The sequence below is a fragment of the Homo sapiens genome, chromosome 21 (genome assembly GCF_000001405.40).
Source record: "Homo sapiens chromosome 21, GRCh38.p14 Primary Assembly".
Classification (NCBI taxonomy): domain Eukaryota; kingdom Metazoa; phylum Chordata; class Mammalia; order Primates; family Hominidae; genus Homo; species Homo sapiens.
The window spans coordinates 42,325,609-42,346,090 of NC_000021.9; the positions used below are offsets into that span (position 1 = coordinate 42,325,609).

The 20,482-nt window shown below is 43.5% G+C and overlaps 5 annotated features.

Annotated features, from left to right (window-relative positions):
• Window positions 10,270-10,771: an enhancer, noted in NCBI's record as "NANOG-H3K27ac hESC enhancer chr21:43755987-43756488 (GRCh37/hg19 assembly coordinates)". NCBI's record gives its function as "activates a minimal SCP1, AML or CMV promoter by ChIP-STARR-seq in naive H9 embryonic stem cells {active_cell/tissue: H9 hESC(naive)}" and the evidence as "EXISTENCE:reporter gene assay evidence [ECO:0000049][PMID:30033119]".
• Window positions 12,250-12,945: an enhancer, noted in NCBI's record as "H3K4me1 hESC enhancer chr21:43757967-43758662 (GRCh37/hg19 assembly coordinates)". NCBI's record gives its function as "activates a minimal SCP1, AML or CMV promoter by ChIP-STARR-seq in primed H9 embryonic stem cells {active_cell/tissue: H9 hESC(primed)}" and the evidence as "EXISTENCE:reporter gene assay evidence [ECO:0000049][PMID:30033119]".
• Window positions 13,451-13,580: an enhancer, noted in NCBI's record as "active region_18511". NCBI's record gives its function as "activates an Ori minimal core promoter by ATAC-STARR-seq in GM12878 lymphoblastoid cells {active_cell/tissue: GM12878}" and the evidence as "EXISTENCE:reporter gene assay evidence [ECO:0000049][PMID:35858748]".
• Window positions 14,774-14,843: an enhancer, noted in NCBI's record as "active region_18512". NCBI's record gives its function as "activates an Ori minimal core promoter by ATAC-STARR-seq in GM12878 lymphoblastoid cells {active_cell/tissue: GM12878}" and the evidence as "EXISTENCE:reporter gene assay evidence [ECO:0000049][PMID:35858748]".
• Window positions 17,834-18,333: an enhancer, noted in NCBI's record as "H3K27ac hESC enhancer chr21:43763551-43764050 (GRCh37/hg19 assembly coordinates)". NCBI's record gives its function as "activates a minimal SCP1, AML or CMV promoter by ChIP-STARR-seq in primed H9 embryonic stem cells {active_cell/tissue: H9 hESC(primed)}" and the evidence as "EXISTENCE:reporter gene assay evidence [ECO:0000049][PMID:30033119]".

The following is a 20,482-nucleotide window of genomic DNA, read 5'->3' on the forward strand; positions in this document are numbered from 1 at the left end:
AAAGAGGAATCCCAGAAAGGAGAGAGCTAGAGAGGAGAAGCTCCAAATTCTGTGTGAAAACCCTTCCCAAGTCTCTCTCTGACCCATGGACCATCCACATACAGGACAGACTCTGGCTAAAGATGAAGAAACTGAAGTTTGAATGACACCCAAGAAGCAGAGTTTGACGTTTGAATCCAATGGAGATGATTGCCTGTCAAAACAAACATACAAAATAAATAAACAGGCAAACACAACTATCTTCAGAGGAATAGAACAGAATCTGCATTCCCCACAACGTAGCAACACAATGTCCTGGCCACAATCGGAAATTACTAAACACACAACCAACAGGAATGTCTCATGCGTTCTGAAGAGAAAAAAAGCCATCAACCTGAGATGACCCAGACATTGCAATGACCAGATAAAGATTTTAAAACAATTAGTATAAGTATGCTTGAGGAAATAAAGAAATATTGCTTATAATGTATGTAAAAATAGAAAATCCCAGAAAAAGAAAATTTAAAAACTGTGTAAAAATAACCAAGTAGAAAGTATAGAACTGAGGGGAGTCAGGTGTGGTGGCTCATGCCTGTAATCCCAGCACTTTGGGAGGCTGAGGCGGGTGGATTACGGGAGGTCAGGATTTCAAGACCAGCCTGGCCAACATGGCAAAACCCCGTCTCTACTAAAAAATACAAAAAACAAAAAATTAGCTGGGTGTAGTGGTGCACACCTGTAGTCTGAGCTACTTGGAAGGCTCAGGCAGGAGAATCACTTGAACCCAGGAGATGGAGGTTGCAGTAAGCCAAGATCACACCACTGCACTCCAGCCTGGGCAACAGAGCAAGACTCTGTCTCAAGAAAAAAACAAAAAGAACTGAGAAGTATATGTGTGAATAATAAATCTACAGTGAATATAAACTAAATAAATAAGTAAATGAAAGAATAGTAAATATGTACATGAAAGTAAAACGTATTGAAGTCTTAGAGTAAAGTGAAGATGACAGAGGAAAGTCAATTAACGTAAAAGATAGCACACTTTAAATTATCCAGTTTGAAGAATAGAAAGAAAAAAAAGGTTGAAGAAATGAACAAAGCCCCAACTACCTGTGGGACAATATCATAAAGTCTGACAGCGTGAAATCAGAAAAAAAAAAAAAAAAAAGTGGCCAGACATGGTGGCTCATGACTATAATCCCAGAACTTTGGGAGGCTGAGGTGGGAGGATCACTTGAGGCCAGGAGTTCGAGACCAGCCTGGCCAACAAAACGAAACCCTGTCTCTACTAAAAATACAAAAAAATTAGCTGGACATTGGGATGCACACCTACAATCCCAGCTAGTCAAGAGGCTGAGGCACGAGAATCTCTTGAACCTGGGAGGCGGAGACTGCAGTGAGCCGAGATTATGCCACTGCACTCCAGCCTGGGTGACAGTGAAACTCTTTCAAAAAAAAGAAAAAAAAAAAAGCCAGAGAAAAAATTAAGAATGCTGAATCTTTGAGAAGATATTTCTTTTTAAAAGATAAACCTCTAACGAGACTGGTCAGGAGAAAAAATAAAGAAAACACAAGCTACCAACATCAGGAATGAAAGATAGGCTATTACTATCATGGTACAGACATTAAAAGGATAACTAGATAATATTTAGAGTAACTTAATACCAACAAATTTGGTAACTTAAATATGAAATGAACAAATTCCCTGTAAAACACAATTTACCAAAATGGACACAGACAAAAAATAGGAAACCTAAATAGTCTTATGTCTATTAAAAATTTTGAAGTTGCTATCAAAAACCTTCCTACAAAGAAAATCGCAGGCTTGAGTGGTTTCACTGTTGCATTCTACCAAACACAAATGAAGACCTTTAATCCATACAAACCTAGGAAAAAGATGAGCTGGGCATATTTTCCGACTCACTTTATGAGGCCATCATAAGCCTAATATGAAAACTTGACAAATATATTATGAATAATGAAAGAGCAACATCAACACAGATTGAAAAATACTTATAAAAATATTAGCAAATTCAACCCAGCAAGATATAAAAACAATATGTCAAGATGTAGATTTTTTTTTCTAAGAAAAACAAGGTAGAGTTTAACATCAAATAATCAATGCAGTTTAACAGAAAAAAATTTTAAAACATGTAATCATTTCAATGAATGTGTAAAAAGCGTTTAACAAAATTAACACTGATACATGATAAAAATTCCCAGAAAACTCGGAATAAAGAGATCATTCTTAAGCTAATAAAGGAAATCTACAAAAAATACAACATTATACTAACTGGTGAAATATTGAATATTCTCCTCCTAAAATCTAGGCCAAAGCAAGAATTCCCACTCTCATCACTTTTATTTAACATTGTAATGGTGCTTCTAGCAATGGTATAAAGCAAGGAATAAAAGGCATAAAGATCAGAAAGGAAGAAGGAAAACTGTCTTTATTCAAGGAAGATCATTTGATTTTCAATTGCCTGTTGCTAATATATGAACACCATTGATTTTTGTATATTAACTTTGTTTCCTGTAACCTTGTTTTAAAGAATTTTTTAAATAGATTTTTTAAAGGATGCTCTAAAATAGCACAAATCATGAAGGTGCAGTTGATAAATCTGACTCAATTACAATTAAGGATATCTATTCATCAAGACATGATAGAGGAGTAAAAAAAAAAGTCTAGTCATGAACTAGGAAAAGATATTTGAAACCCATGTAACTGACAAAGGATTGCTATAAAGGATAGGTAAAGAACTCCTTCAAACCAGTGAGAAAAAGACAAATAACATGATTTTTTAAATATACAAATAGGATTGCCACTGAAAAGAAAAGCTAGGTAGTCAATAAGGATATGGAAAGAAGCTCAACCTCACAAAAAGTCAAGGAATTACAAATAAACCAATGTTAAAATATCACTTTACTTAACATCAGATTGCACTGATTACCAAATGTCGACAAGTTGTGGAGAAATAGAAACTCTTATGCAAATCTGGCAAAAAGGTAATTGACACACCCTCTTTGGCAAGCATTTTGACAACAGCCAGTAAATTGAAGAAGTCCGTATTGTTCTGATAGAAAGAAACTGGAAACATTATACCTAGTTGCCTATCAATTGGGGATTGAATCCTGTGGAATATTATACACATGTTAAAATGAATGAAGCAAATATATTTTTATTAATGCAAATACATTTCAAAAGTTAAAAATAAGATATAAGTTGAAAAGGCTGCATACTAGGATACCATTTCTGATTATTTTAAAAAACAACAAAATAATACCATGTATTGTTTATGGGTATCATGGGAATAATGCCCACTGACTCAGGAAGAGTGGTTAATTCTGGGGAGGGAGGAAAAAGGATGGATTAAAGGAGTACTTTTATGATTTTATTTCTTTTTAAAATGAGAGGCATTTTTAAAGTGAGAGGCATCAAGGCATAAGTAACTGACAAGTTGATGAATCTGGGTAGCACATATATAGATGACACTACATTAGATACCATTCAAGGAAAGGCATTTGACATATGGCTATTTAAAATTTTTATTTAAAGAAATCCAAATAACGCAGGTGGTGTGGGCAGCAAGTCCCAGCTGCTGGGTGTGAGAGAGGCTGGGAGAAGCCAGCCCTGAGGCTGGGAGTGGCACATGGGTCCTGGTTTGGGGGCCATTCTCATGCTTCATCCCGGTTGCCTGGCCAATACCCCAGGGGTTTATCTGGTGAGGGATGGGGAAGGGACCACTGACAGAGTAGGAGCATTGCCATCTTGGACAAGCACCGCCATTTTAAAGTTCACCTTGATCAAAAACTGCCTAAATCCAAAGGGCATCAGCCTAATGGCTAAGGTCAGCAGGACCATAAACCACAAATGACATCTCTGACCAGAAACTTTCCAACCATAAGAAATAAACTCCTCCCCGACCAGAGGCATGCCAGGCCCAAGATAACCTCCCCTCCAGCCAGAGACATTCCAACCCCACCATAAAGTTCTCCCCAACACGGAAACATTCCAAGCTTGTGATAAGCTCTCACCCTAAAACCAATAAATACTCTTAGTCTGTAAGAGAGAGTGCTCCTGACCAAAGTGACCAGAAGCCCCTCTCAGGTTTATTCTCCAAAATCAACCTGTCTTTGACTGTTGAGCCACTTTTTGCATTTCTTTCCTCTTTCTTTAACTCTTACAACCACTTTTAAATCCCAGAAGCATCCAGCTTGATGGCAAATAAAAGTCTTAAGTCCTTTCACATTTTAAAATTTTAATTCCCAGGTCTTTGGGCCCCTGCAGTGCAATCTCAACTTTCTCTCTATATTAGCAGAGTCGACAGATCCACCTGAGGATGAGTGCCTGACTGTGTCCTGGACAAGCAAGGAGCTTGAACTAGAGAGGGAATTAACATCCCAGTGGAGAAGCACTAGAAAGAGTCAATGTTTAATACAAGTAATCTCTGGATCAAATGCACCATGGGTGTGTCACCCATGCTGTGCCCCAGGTCATCCCTCCCCTCGAAGTCTGTCAGAGAACATAAACTAAAGATTATTTTTCTGACTTCTTGAAAATGACCATTACTTTGTTCAAAGAGAAGAAGGGTCATTGGTGGCTGCTCACCACTAGAGGAGAAGAAACGGTCTCTTTGATTTTTCATGGGAATCTAGAAATAGAATGGTCAGAATTGAAAGTACCTTACATCTCATAAAATGCAACCATAGCTGGTGCCTAATCCCACCACATTCTCTGCAATTGTTAGCCTAGATGACTAGAGAGTAGTTTTTAGGGAATTCAAAAGAAATTGAAAGCAGGGCCCACCCTTAAGAAATATGTTGTCTACCAAAACAAAAACATGGTGGGACTATCAGAACTGCAAAGTGACTGTATGAGATGGCCCAGATGGAAACCACACATGACCTCTGGAGCCTTACCCTGGGGCTTCCCTGTTTGTGCAGAGAAAAGGGTGATTTCCCTGTGTGGAGGAGGAGCCCCTTACAGTCGGCTACCTTTCCAGGGCTGGTGTCCACAGGACTCTGGGTGGTTTGTGCTAAAGGTGCCCTGTGGACATTTCTTAGGTTTGAGGCAGGCATGCCTCTCACTTGACTCTTCCTACTCACCATCAGCTCCATGTTTCAAAGGATGCTTTTTCCCTGCTGTAATGTATTCATCTCATTCACTGTTTACTCCATCCAGGAACTGAAAGCAAAGTGTGAGATCACAAAATATGGCAACATCTTCAGGCAAGAGCCTACCTTAATTGCCAATGCCTCCTGGTGGCTCTTCATTATAGAGGCAGCCCATGTTCTCAAGACTTATAATAGCCCTGTTTTACATATCAAATGGCAAGAAGCTAAATACCAACTCTCCTTAATACATTATTCATACTTCCGTGGCACTCATATGATATCTTGTTTTTCAATGTCTTAAGGAGTTTTACCAAAGAGTTAAGATTTGTTGAGTTCCTATGGACAGAAGTATTATTGAACAAAGAATATCAGTCAATATTTATTTAACATCCACTGTGTGCACAGCCTTCAGTCCAGGTGCTGTGGGAGGTTACAAAAGAAGAAGATGATATGGTCAGTGTTGATAAGAAAGCTGCAGTCATGGAGGCATCATAAACTCCAACTCAGCCCCCAGCATTATGAAATCCATGCAGCATTCATATCGATATGTCGTGTCCTCTAGCAGCTCAACATATTAAGAGGGGTTGAGAAGGTAAATATGGTCATTTAAAAAATCAATTCACAGATACACATACAGTCAACAGGGAGGAAAAATATGTGGTTTTAGGCCTCAATGTTAGCACAACACTCCTAATAGAGGAAGTCTTAAAGGGAAAGAAGACTCTGAATTGGCTCTGCCAGGCAGAGGTGATCTGACTGAGTCAATGGAGATGTGTTACTTGAGAGGTGAGAAAGAGGATAGTAAATGGAGATGCAACAAGAAAATACCTTTCTCCAGGGCAGCAGGGCAGGGCCAGACAGTCCTGAGACTCAGAGTAGAAATGGTGGATGATGCCCTGGACAGCCCTTGGGCAGAAGAGTACTTGACTTCCAGATGGCAGCTGCTCAAGAACCCAAGGTGCAGTGGCCATGACCTGGGCTCTTCACTCTCCTCTACCCTCTTAGGTTCTTCAGCTCTCTGCAAATTAAACTTGTTAAAAAGGAAGATTAACAGGAGAAAAAGAAAACAAACTTGATGTTGATATTTTAATTTTTAAGTGCATAGAGACCTTCATAGAAAAGAAATGAAGATCCCAAGAAGTGGTTACACCTAGGGGCTTATATACCACTTTAACAATAGGTAATAAATTATGGAGAAGTGATAAGGGGAAGGGAAAGAAATTTGGAGTCCTAGAGGTGGGAAATTGTGGGAAGGTAAATATCTGAGGGAAACTAATGGAAGATGAGGGTTATTTTAGTAAAGTTCATTTGTGCAGACCCATCTCAGTGCCAACTTTCAGTCCCCTGGTAGGGGAGAGAGGAAGAAATACCTTCACAAAGGAAAATTTATGTCCTGCTTTGAGGCAGATTAAGGAGGCCAAAGTGCTCTTTCTGCATTTGATGCTTCTTCATTGCCTTCATCTCAAAATAATTCCTATTCCAAAGCGGCATATCTCGGGGATAGCAATTCTGATCTCCTTCACTTTCATCTCTGCTGAGGTACAGGAAGACTGACAGGTGATGCCCCATAGGGTCTAGAGACAGAAAAGTGGAATTCAAGTTTTGTGGGTGTCATTGGACATCCAGCCATAGTTTCCTGCTGGATAATAATGATGCCTTCCTTGCCCACCCTCGCAAGGTAGGTGTGAGGCTCAAGCAATGGTAGGCAGTGCAACCTGAAGGGTGAAGCACTGTCCACCTGCTGTTAGCAGATGTCATTGCTGTTATAAGAAGTAAACACACAATGACTACTCTATAGTGGTTGTGACTGTCTCAAGATGCAAACTCTGTAGACATACTCAATCAGTCCCTCATGATTCTGTTCAGTTTGACTTGACCTAACTCACCGGCCAGCCTCCTGGGCTGTCTCCCCCTCGAGGTTTCATGCCCAGAGTGACTGTTCACTCCTGGAGCAGATCCTTGCCTTCACCATCCCTTCTAGCTCTTCTCCTGAGCCTCCTCTGCTTGGGTGGGAGTGGCTCTCAGCTCAGCTCCCTGCCACCCCAGCTGCAGGAGGATGGAAGTCATTGATTGCAGTAGGGTGTGTGTGAAAGTGGGATGGGTAAATGAAGACAATAAACCATCTTGACCTGGCCCGAAGCTCACAGGTTTGGAGCCTTGCAGTGCAGTGCTGACCTCTGAGCCCAGAAGTCAGTTTTCCAGCAAATGGCATGGCTCTGGTGGCTGAATGATTAAAAACCTTCAGCAAAGGAGGCTGAATGCCTGCTGATCATCAGACTTTTATAGATTCCAGGTAAAGCAAAGGCAGGAAGAGAGGCAGGGACCCTGGGCTTGTTTATTTGACATAATGAGGGTTATTTGGTCATAATTCAATACACTCAATGTGCCAAGGTACAGTTTGCAAAAGAACACAGCCATAAAGCAGGTGAGTTCAGAGAAATCCAGAGATAATACAAAGCTCATGGGGTTATTGTGAGTGACAAGGAATGCAGAAGCAAGCACTGGGATCGCATTTCCCAACCCCCACCCCACTCCTTTTTTTTCTGAGACAGAGTCTCACTCTGTCACCCAGACTGGAGTGCAGTGGCATGATCTTGGCTCGCTGCAACCTCCAACTCCAGGGTTCAAGTGATTCTCCTGCCTCAGCCTCCTGAGTAGCTGGGAATACAGGTGTGCACCACCACGCTCAGCTAATTTTTGTGTCTTTAGTAGAGACGGGGTTTTGCCATGTTGGCCAGGCTGGTCTTGAACTTGCGACCTCAAGTGATTCGCCCACCTCAGCCTCCCAAAGTGCTGGGATTACAGGCATGAGCCACCGCGCCCGGCCCCCAAACCTTTTTGACTTGTGAACACATTTCACAGGGAAAAGAAACCCATCTTACCCATCTTGTTTGGAATTTTACAAAAACTTATTTGCAGTAACCTTGTCTGGCATAAGATAAGATGAACTGATATAAAACTATTTTATTTTAGATAAGCGTTTCATCAAAAATGCAATAATTCAGATTATGGTCATTTGTTTTCCTTTTTAACCTTATTTTTAATTCTAGAGAAATTTTGATGTGCTCTATGAGACTTTTAAGCCAATCCATCAGATAACTTACCTATTGAAAAGCATAAGATGAATTGGCACTATTGTCATTTTTATTATTATTGTCTTATCCTCTTCCTCATTAGCACCTTTCTTCTCTTCTCTCTTCCTTCCTTCATTCCTCCCTCCCTCTCTCTCTTTCTTTCTTTCTCTCTCTTTCTTTCTTTCTCTCTCTCTTTCTCTCTCTCTCTTTCTTTCTTTCTTTCTTTCTTTCTTTCTTTCTTTCTTTCTTTCTTTCTTTCTTTCTTTCTTTCTTTCTTTCTTTCTTTCTTTCTTTCTTTCTTTCTCCTTTTTTGACAGTTTCACTCTTGCCCCTAGGCTGGAGTCCAATGGCACGATCTCAGCTCACTGCAACCTCTGCTTCCCAGGGTCAAGTGATCCTCCTGCCTCAGCCTCCCGAGTAGCTGGGATTACAGGCACACACCACCATGCCTGGCTAATTTTTGTATTTTTAGTAGAGACAGGGCTTCACCATGTTGGCCAGGCTGGTCTCAAACTCCAGACCTCAAGTGATCCATCCACCTTAGCCTCCCTAAGTGCTAGGATTACAGGTGTGAGCCACCTCGCCCGGCCCCCTACATTTCTTGACTGGTATTTCTTTTCCTTTCTGCTGTTAACCAACAGCTATTCTGATGAAAAATTAATCAATATATTGCTAAAATCATAGAGCTTTGAAGCACTTGATGACCAAAACTGATGTAACTACTAGGACCTTGAGCTGAGCAGGGGCTGCAATCTCAACATCAGACAAAATAGAATTCAGGCCAGCAGGCATCAGACATGATGAAGACAGACGCTTGGCAGGTCACAGTTCACAATGGAGCAATAACAGTTATAAATATTTTTGCACCAAGAAAGGGATAGGAAAAGTATATTTATTTTATAAGCCAGAAACAGTGAGATACAAGCAGAAATAGACAAAACCCATAACTGGTCATGAGAACATCATTCTGAAGATAAGACAAGTCAAGTGAACAAAGAAAAAAGTAAGTAAAAAAATAGAACTCAAGGAATATAATTAATAAGGCAGATCTGATGAATAGACATATACACTGTGTATGTATGTATACATATGGATATGTCAAAGTTTAATTCCCAATATTAATACAACTTCTTCTCAAGCACACATGAAATATTCACAAAATTTAATGGTACATTTGCACACAAAAAAGCAATAAGTTCCATAAAGTAAAAGTTTTGGCTGGGTGCAGTGGCTCAGGCCTGTAATTTCAGCACTTTGGGAGGCCAAGGAGGGATGATAACTTGAGGCCAGGGGTTCAAGACTAGCCTGGGGCAACATGGCAAAGCCCTGTCTCTACTAAAAATACACACACACAAAATTAGCCAGGTGTGGTGGTGCACGCCTTTAATCCCAGCTACTTGGGAGACTGAGGCATGAGAATCGTTTGAACCTGGAAGACAGAGGTTGCAGTGAGCCAAGATCATGCCACTGCACTCCAGCCTGGGTAACAGAGAGAGACTCTGTCTCAAAAAAAGAAAAGTAAAAATGTTATAATCACTCTATGATCAAGTGCAACAAAACCAAAAAATATTAACATTATTGCACATGGAAATGGAAATATCTTCTATTAAATACTTGTGGCTAAAAGATAAATTACTAACCAAAATTATAGAATATTTTAGAAATTATGATAATAAAAACACCACATTTCTGAATCTATGGGCAATATTTAAAATGGTAATTAGTGGAAAGTGCATAGATTTAAACACATGCCATTAATCCATAAATTGAATTCCCAAACCAGAAAACTAGGAAAAGAATAGCTTGTTGAAAAAAGGCTGAAAGAAAGCAAAGGGAAAGAAATCAATGAAGTACAGAAGAGAAAAAGAGTGGAATTCTTTTTCACAAATTCAATCCCAGTTATTTTTAAAAATTAAACAAAATATGCAAACCACTGGCTAACCCAATAAAAAAAATGAAAAAAGGATCCACAAATATCCAGAATAAGAATTGACAATGAAGGAAACAACTATTGAAACAGAAGAGTCTTTAAAAACGGTAAGAGGCTACCCTGAATAACTTTATGCAACTAATTTTTAATATCTAGATGAAACGCGTAAGTTCCTAGGAAAATAACAGTTTAACAAAATGGGTCCAATAGAGACATAGGGCTGAAATAAACCGTAGAAGAAATGGAAAACGTTATCAAGGAGCTGTCAACAAAATCATTAAACAGGATTTTGCTTATTTTTTTAAAAAAGAAAGAGACTTTATTCCAGTAAACATTTTGCAAACCAGGGAGACACCCCCTTCGGTACAAAACAAAGGTGCAATCTGAGACAACAAAGAGAGGGGTTGTCTTTTAAAGAGAAAGCTCCCTCTGGGTTCCCACTCTCGTCTGCTATGCAAATAGGGGATGCAAACTTGCTTAGCTGTGGTTAGTTGACGCTTGTTTAGTTCTGATTGGTAGATGTGGGCCACATTCTCCTGGTGAGCTCCAGGGGCCGAGGGGAGGCTTTCCAGTAGCCGTTGATACAGGAGTGAACAGGAGCAGCTATGAATGTCCCAGAACGAAGCAAACATGTGGGTTTCCAGGAATGCAGAGTACGTGTGTGACGTCTAGTCAGCAAATGGCCACACGGCTCTATTTTGAATTTAGCCCCAGTTGGCTCCCCGGGATCCACCTTGAAGGGCTGGTTCTTTCGGGATTCCCAGAAAAAAAAGCCGTAAGAATCTCCATGTCCAGATAATCTCACAGGGAAATTCTAGCCAAGCTTCAAGTACCTAACAGTCCCAATGCTGCAAAAATTGTTTCAGACACTTAAAAACAAAGGAAAATGCACAAATTTATACAAAAATGTGAACTGAAAATGTGTCATAGACAAAAGTATAAGCACCAAAGTTATAAAACTCCTAGAAGAGAATATAATAGAACACGTCCGTGGCCTTGAATTAGGCAGAGATTTCTAGGTAGGAAACATAAAGTTTGAATCATAAAAGAAAAATGAGAAAAACTAGATTTCATCAAAATTAAAGATATTTTCTCTTTGAAAAATATTCTTAAGGAAATGAACGAAAAGGTAAGTCACAGACTAGGAGAAAATATTTGCACAAAATATATCTAGTAAAGGACTTGTATGCAGAATATATAAAGAATTTTACAACTCATTACAAAGAAGAAAAAGACACCTGAGTTAAAAAGTGTTGAAGATTTAGACAGATACTTTACCTGAGAAGATGTGTGAAAAATAAGCTCATGAAAAGATGTTCAACATCCTTAGTTACTAGTGAAATGTAAATTAAAATGAAAACAGGATATCACATTCCACACACCACAATGGCTAAAATGTAAAAGACTAGTAAACCAAGGATGTAGTAAGCATTTGCAAATCTCCTCCATTGTGGCTGGGGAGACAAAATGGCTCAATCCTTGGAAAACAATTTTTTCAGATTCTTATGAAGTTAAACATAACACCGTACTATCCAGAAATCCACTCATAGCTACACTTCCAAGAAAAAAGGCATTTCCTCAAGCATTTACCCAAATCCCTTCACATACATGTGCATAATTGTTCATAGTAACTTTACCCATAATAGTAAAAAGCTGGGAATAATCCAGATGTCATCACCTGGTAAATAGGTAAGCATATTGCAGTGTATCCTGCTGTGGAATACTACTCAGCAATGAAAAGGAACGAACCACCCTTCTGTGCAACAACCTGGAAGAATCTCAAAGAAAGCTGTGTGCTGTGTGAAAGAAAACAGACTTCAAAGACTGTGCACTGTCTGCACTGTGTGATTAAACTTACTTGAAATTCTAGAAGAAATGAAACTAAAGCAAAAAAACACAGATTCTTGGTTTTCTGGCGCTAGGGAGAGGCTATTGACAGCAAAGGGCACGACGGGATTTTCTTGGAGGGAATGAATGTTCTACATCTTGATTGTGGTAGTGTTTACACAGTTGTATACATTTGTCAAAACTCAATGAACTGATTCATTTAAAATGGGTGAGTTTTATTGTATGTGAATTATACCTCCGAGAAACTAATTTTTAAAAAAATCTCAAGGCATGAGCATTGCCATCATCAGCGTTACTAATGTGAACACAGTGAACTGATGAAATGACGGGGCAATTTGCAACGTGTGATAGGCACTGAGATCTCTCTCTGGACATCAGGAAGCTGCGTGTTGTCAGATGCCGAAGCCGAACCCACTTGCCCATTGGGCTGCAGGAAGGCTGAGAGTCTGTCCCCAGCATGGATAGCAGAGGGCGCTGTGGAGCATCATTAGCCTGTAGGGTTCTTTAGGGGAAAACACCTTAATGAGCCCTGTGCGCTCGGAAGGTTGAATAGAGGGCCCTTCCTTCCTCTAAGCCACATTTCTGGTTGCGCCACATTAAGTCAAACAATTATTAAGTGCTGAGCAGTCTTTGGATCACAGAAAACAAACACAGAGGCTGCAGCCACTGGGCCCTGTGGAAAACTGGCGGCCGTCCTGCGATGGTGTCAGCTCATCCGTGTCCGCGCTGCTGGAGGCCTGGCAGGAGCTGAGATCAGAGCCCTTCAGCGGGAGTGGGGCTACTCCTCCCTCCCCTGGTTTCCCTGGAAGCTGAGAAAGTTCCCAGGAAAGTGCTGAAAACCTCCCACCACTCTTTACACAGACCTGAGAGGGGGCTGAGGTGGGGGAAGCTCTGTTGCAGAGATGGGCTGACTCGGGGAATAGGCCGGTGGGGCGGGACAGATGCTGGAGGGACAGATGGGGCGTCAGAGGAGACAGAGGCTGTCAGGGAGCTGTGGTCCTGCACATGGGAACCAGTCCTTGCCCAGCCTGTCTGGAGGCCCCTGGGCTGCTGCTAGTTACTGAGAGGGCGCAGTGGCCAGGCTGCACCTCCCTGTGGCCTGGTCCCTCCACTAGCTGGAGGAAGGTGGGGCTGCTCCCTCCCAGCCAGTGCCGAGTGGCTGCAGACCCAGAAGACACACGCTGTATATATTCCTGCATGCATGGCCCTGAAATGGTGGCCTCATGGGTTGCAGTGTCCACGCTGCTTCCACAAGGAAGAAACGGCTGCTTGCTCCACGCCTGGGGGCCCCAAGGCTCAGGCATCCTTGCCGTGGCCCACCCAGCAAAGTGCAGCAAGAGGGAAGGCAACACGCCTGCCTATTTCACTGGCAAGGGCAGGCCCCCAGGGGTTTCTGGGAGAGGTACAATAGCAGAGTTCCAGCTTGGGGTGGGGATAGCTATGTGTCAGGACCACAGCATTAGCCAGGGCCACAGGCAGGTGAGGCAGAGGTAGGCAACCATGGAAGAGCCCCTGGGAGAGGAACCCCGATGTGCTTATGGAGGGGCTTGGTAGGCATTGGCCCTCCTGTGTGAGCAGGTGGAATGCTGAGGGTCTGATGGCCGGGTGCCCGCCACTGGGACAGTCACTGTGAGACAACCAGGACCACGTGTGTCTTCCCGGAAGAATGGGCCTAGGATATGAGGATGTGCATGTATGAACAATCATAGCAAGAACAGCTCTAAGCACATCCTAATTCAACTCATGAAGCCTCACCACAAACCCAGAAGGGAAGATGTTATGAATATCTGTACTTAGCATATGAGTAAAACTAGGGTCAAAAAGTCTACGTAACTTGTCCAAGGTCACACAGTGACCCTGAGAGAGAAATCGCTGTAGAGCCGAAGTGCGATAGATATTTTTGAGATCTGATTCACACACCCTCATTGCAGCCCCCTGACTCCAGTTAACTGCCCAGCATCCCATGGTGGGGGTCAGATTGGGCTTCTAAGGCAGGGTGGGTTGAGGGGGACATCACACTGGGGCTGGCCCCTGAAGCAATAGCTAGAGATATTCATGCGTGTACCACAACTCCAAACTATAGATAATGAATATAAAATGCATGTAATGAATATGCAGTCTATTCCCATTACATATTCTCTATTTGCAAATTCGCCTACTCACTAAAATTTATTGGTGACCCTAAATCAATACTTGGGGTGCTTTCAAGGTCGTTTGCAGAAACGTACAAAGTGGTGACAAATTTGAGTCACAGACATGCATATTCCCAACTGAAGTCACACAAGGCCTTTTTTATTTTTGAGATGGAGTCTTGCTCTTTTCGCCCAGGCTGGAGCGCAAATGTGCGCTCGCAGCTCACCACAACCTCTACCTCCACCACCCAGGTTCAAGCAATTCTCCTGGCTTGGCCTCCAGAGTAGCTGGGATTACAGGTGCCTGCCACCACACCTGGCTAACTTTTGTATTTTTAGTAAAGACAGGGTTTCATCGTGTTAGCCAGGATGGTCTCGATCTCCTGGCCTTGTGATCCGCCCGCCCCAGCCTCCCAAAGTGCTGGGATTACTGGCATGAGCCACCATGCCCAGCCACACAAGGCCTTCTTGCCTCAACCCATACTGTGAACTAATGTCCTTTTCTTGGTCTATGTAGTGCCACGTTTTTATGCCTGTTGTTGGTGATTTCCCATTTAAGATGCCCCCATGTGCCATAGTGAGGAGCTGTCTGGTGTCCTGGGTGTGAGGTGATATGCCTCTGGGGAAAACACCAGGGGCAGGGCAGCCTCACTGGGGCTGGGAGACAGGGTGCCGGCCTGGAGTTCAGCATTAATGTAACCACCGTGTGCACTCCACAAGGTGTCTACAGGAAACACCCTCGAGCCTGGCTACATATGGCTGGTTAATGAAATGCTCCCAGAAGCTTGCAGAAACCTGACCCTGTACTTCCCCAGGAGCGAGGGTTCCAGATTCACTAAGTCAGGGCTGGCAGCGACTTCATAGAGCTTAACTACATGAATGCCAGAACGTACTGTATAGATACCCACTATAAATCAGCACTAAAGTGCCTGTGCACATACAGCTGTGCAGCACTTAACGACAGGGAAATGTTGTGAGAAACGCGTCATGAGGGGTTTTGTCGTTGTGTGAACACCGTAGAATGTGCTTAATGCATAGCTAGAGGGCAGCGCCTGCTGCACACCCAGGCTGCACGGTTGGCTCCCAGGCTGCAAACCCGTGCAGCGAGTGACTGGACTGAACACTGGAAGCAACCGTAACGCAGTGGTAAGCATTTGTGTATCTAAACATAGAAAAGGTACAGCCAAGGCCGGGCATGGTGACTTATGCCTGTATCCCCAGCACTTTGGGAGGCCGAGGTGGGCAGATCCTGAGGTCAGGAGTTCGAGACCAGTCTGACCAACACGGTGAAACCCCGTCTCAACTAAAAGTACAAAAATTAGCTGGGTGTGGTGGCGAGTGCCTGTAATCCCAGCTACTTGGGAAGTTGAGGCAGGAGAATCACTTGAACCCAGGAGGCGGAGGTTGCAGTGAGCCGAGATTGGTGCCATTGCACTCTGGCCTGGGCAACAGGGTGAGACTCCTTTTCAAAAAAAAAAAGAAAAAAGAAAAGATACAGTCAAAACATGGTGTGAAAGATAAAGAATGGGACGGTATGTAGGCACTTACCATGAACGGAGCTTGCAGGACCGGACAAGACAGGGAGGGAGTGGGGAGTGAATTCGAAGGCCCAGGACACGACTGTCCTACCATAGACTTCATAAACACACGACATTTATAAAAAATACTATTCTTTCTTCAATAATAAAATTAACCTCAACTTACTGTAACATTTTTACTTTATATTTTTTTTAATTTTTAAAAATTCTTTTTTTTCTTTTTCTTTTTTTTTTTTTTTTGAGATGGAGTTTCATTCTGTGGCCCAGGCTGGAGTGCAATGGTGTGATCTCAGCTCACTGCAGCCTCTTTCTCCCGGGTTCAAGTAATTCTCCTGCCTCAGCCTCCTGAATAGCTGGCATTACAGGCACCTGCCAACTCACCTGGCTAATTTTTGTACTTTTAGTAGAGATGGGGTTTTACCATGTTGGTCAGGCTGGTCTTGAACTCCTGACCTCATGATCTCCTGCCTCGGCCTCCCAAAGTGCTGGGATTACAGGCGTGAGCCACCACACCTGGCCAAAATTCTGACTCTTTTTAATAATACTTGCTTAAAACACAAATGCATTGTGCAACTGTACAAAAATATTTTCTTTCTTTATATCCTTATTCTATAAACTTTTTAGTAATTTTAATATTTTTTAACTTTTTTAGACTTTTTGTTAAAAGCTAAAACAAACACACATTAGCCGAGGCCCTCGCAGGGTTAGGATTCTCACTGCCACCGTCGTCCACCTCCACATCTCGTCCCACTGGAAGGTCTTCAGGGCCAGTAACACGCAGGAAGCTGTCATCTCCTATGATAACAATACCTGACTCTGGAACCTCCTGAAGGGCCCGCCTGAGGCTGTTCACAGTTAACTGTTTTTATATAAGTAGAAGGAGTACACTCTAAAATAACAATAAAAAGTGTAGTATGTACATAAGCCAGTCACACTGCCATTTATAATCATAGCCAGTATTAGGTGGTGTACATGATTTTATGTGCTGTACTTTCATACAACTGGCAGTGCAGTAGGTGTGTTGACTCCAGCCTTCCCACAAACAGCTTAGTAACGCGTCATGCTGTGACGTTACAATGGCCCTGATGTCACCAGGTGATGGAAATTTTTCAGCTTCATTGTAACCTTATGGGATCACAGTCATATACGAGGCCCACTGTTGACCAAAACATTGTCATGCGTGGTGCATGACTGTGTATGCGGCGAGCGCTAGGTATAGTGAATATATAAAGAATAAGTGTGTGTTATCCAGGATTACCACATTCTGGAGGCAGAGCTGGCTGTCCTACATGGTACTTGGAAGAAGTTTGTTTATTTTTTTGATACGGAGTCTCGCTCTGTCACCAGGCTGGAGCGCAGTGGCGTGATCTCAGCTCACTGCAACCTCCGCCTCCCAGGTTCAAGCCATTCTCCTTGGAAGATGCTTTTTTATAGGAGGCCACAGGACAAGACCACAAGGCCACCGGCGGCCTCTGGCAGGAGCTCCATGTAGTGGGGGCCTGCTGTGTGCACCAGGCAGCTCACAAACATTATTATTATTATTATTATTATTATTATTATTATTATTATTATTATTATTTGAGACAGGATCTCACTCTGTCACCCAGGCTGGAGTGCAGTGGTGTGATCACGGCTCACTGCAGCCTTCACTTCCCCGGGTTCAAGCAATCCTCCCACCTCAGCCTCCTGAGTAGCTGGGACTAAAGGTGTGCCCAGCTACTTTTTGTATTTTTTGTAGAGATGGGGTCTCAGCATGTTGCCTAGGCTGGTCTTGAACTCCTGGGCTCAAGCAATCCTCCTCTCTTGGCTTCCCAAAGTGCTGGGATTACAGGACTGAGCCACCATGCCCAGCCACAAACGTTATTTTTAATTTTCGCCAGAACCCTGCTAGGGAAGTAATCATTACTCATATTTTACAAACAGAAAGCCTGAGAATCTGAGAGATTTTTAAAAACCTCCCCACGGTGACCCACCTGGGCCATCAACCTGCACACATGGTGACAGCTCCTGCTGTTCCCACCCCCAGCGAGCTGACCGACCCCGTCTCCTATAATTGCTTCTCAAGCCATCTCTGTTACCTGGACCAGCCAGGCAGGGACCTGGAGGAGCGCAGGGAGCCAGGAGGGCAGGCAGTTGACTTGAGGGCCGCAGCGGCTGTCCTGGTTAGGTCGATGGCCACTGGGCCCTCCCGCCAAGCCTCACCGGCTCTGCCATCCATGAGGTCCCTGCCTGCACTGGATAGGGATTATTGGAGCCTCTGCAGGGAAAGGGAACAGAAGGGAAGGGAACCAGGGGCAAGCAGAGGAGACGAGAAGCAGCAGGAGACCCCAGGAGGAAGGGGCAGGGAGGCAATGATTGGGGGAGAAAATGGAAAAGAGGGCGAAGGGAAAAGGAAGCCTTGTTTTACTCAAGGGGTGGGTTCAAATGTCACCAGCTGTTGCTCCAGGGCCCCTGGGGGGACCCCCCAAAGGAGGAGGAAGGGGGTGGCCCACTCTGAGCTATCTTGTGGTGGCACGTGGTTAATTAACTCACTCATAGTGCTGGAGCCAGCAGGAGCTGTACTATCGGTAACAGATCAGAGTGGCCCACGGACCCCCAAGCCCAGGCCCATGGCAAACACAACGGAAGTTGCTTCAGAATGCCTGCTCAAGGATCCGAAGGGCAATGTAGGAACTGGTTCAGAAACTGGGGCCTTCATGGATCAGAGAATTTCTGAAGGAGGAAATGGGATTGGAGTACCAGCATGAGAAGAAAGTTCCCAGAAAGACACCATGGGAAACACAAGTGCCCACATATTAAAGACGTTCCTGCACCTAGAGCCTCATGCCAAGTGGCCTGCAGACAACTGCCTGAGAACAAAAGTCTGCAGACCAGAAACTGCCCGAAGAGGCATGAAACCAGAAGCTTTCACCTCATCCGGCACCCAAGAAGGCCCCAGTGCCAACTCCGGGAGCAGAACCTCCACACTCTTCACCCGGGAGGCACAGAAAATTCACATGCCCCTGGAGAGCATGCCAACCACCCTTTCCAGGAATCCACTGGCCTGATTTGGCTTTTCCGCCAGTGTGGCCAGGGCTGGCTGACCCTGGAACCCATAAACTAAGTGTACTGGGGGGGACAAACGAGAGAGGACACGGCAGTCTGGGAAGGATAAATTCACAAACATGAGCATCCGTCTCCGCCACCTGATTATCTTGAGTGTTTCTGAGACCCCGTGTTGCTAACAAGGGCCACTGTTCATTGAGCTGATGATATGTTGTAGGTAAGACTGAGACACAGCTGAGACCCAAGGCAGCATGTGGCCTCCTCGCAAAGCAGGCATCCGGAGAGTTGATGTAAGGCCACATCCGTTCCTTGAAGAAGCACTTCCTAATACTCCCATCTTCCAATAGGAAGCTAGTGGCACTGGCCCCAACCCACCCTGGAGGGCAGAGGCCTTGGATTTTCTGGGGTGACAGGAGTGGGCTATTGGGTGACACATTTGCTAAGGCAATTGGCTTCGGGTAGGAGAGGGATGTTGGGGGAAGCAACAGAAAGACTGGCCTAGCGTCATCCACTCTGCACTCCCACCACCGAGCTGAATGACACCAGGACCTCTTAAAGGAGACACAAAAGAATCTTTCAACTAAACACAGAGCTGCTATTCAATGCAGCAGTCCCCACTGAGTATCTATCCAAAGGAAATGAAATCATTCTATCAAAAAGATACCTGTACTTGTACATTTATCGCAGCACTATTCACAATAGCAAAGATATGGAATCAACCTAAGTGTCCATCAACAGGCAAATGGATTTAAAAAGTGGTATGTATACACAATGAAATAATATTCAGCCATAAAAAGAATTAAATCATGTCTTTTGCAGCAACATGGATGGAACTGGAGGTCATTATCTTAAGTGAAATGAACTAGACACAGAAAGTCAAATATCACCTGTTCTCACTCGTAAGTGGATGCTAAAAATGTGTCCACGTGCACATAGAGAGGAATGGTGGGCAATGGACATGTGGATGGCTGACGGGGGTAGGGGGCAGATGATGAGAAGTTAGTTAATGGGTACAGTGTACGTGATTCAGGTGGTGGACACCCTAAAAGCTCTGACTTGACTACTATGCAAACTACACATGTAACAAAATTGCACACGTACCCTGTCAATTGGTACGATAATAATAATAATAATGAATAAATAAGAATATTTCACACAGTGATCTCCGCACGGCTGGCATTGCCTTAATGAAATGCTGTCAACTTCCTCCCTTGAATATCCTCAACTGTTAGCAGATTACCAAAGCTACCCTCAGGCAGAGGCCAGAAAACACAGAAGCAAAGAGTTGGGAGAGAATTTTTGGCCTACCTGGTCAAGGCCCCTCCCTGCTTGCCTTAGAAATAGGAGACGACCGGCTGCCGCACAATCGTCTCAAAATCGAGGGGTCTGCGATGCATTCGGTCAAAGAGAAAGGATTTTGCAATTGCAATCTGAAGTCACGTATCACTCCAAGAGGTTTTTAGGGCTAGTCATTTGAGTTTTTATAAAAAGGACTGAGAATGGGAGTTACAAAGTGATTGTGAATTCTGAAATGTTCTTACATGCAATACTTTTTTATTGCTTTTAGAGAAACCTGAATGTATTTGATGAATTTTTTCTCTTAGAAAAATGGAAGGGACATTAAAACTGCCAGGCATGGTGGCTCACGCCTGTAATCCCAGCACTTTGGGATGCCAAAGTCATCCACTTTGGGAGGACCACTTGATGTCAGGAGTTCGAGACCAGCCTGGCCAACATGGTGAAACCCCATCTCTACTAAAAACACAAAAATTAGCCAGTGTGATGGTGGGCACCTGTAATCCCAGCTACTCGGGAGGCTGA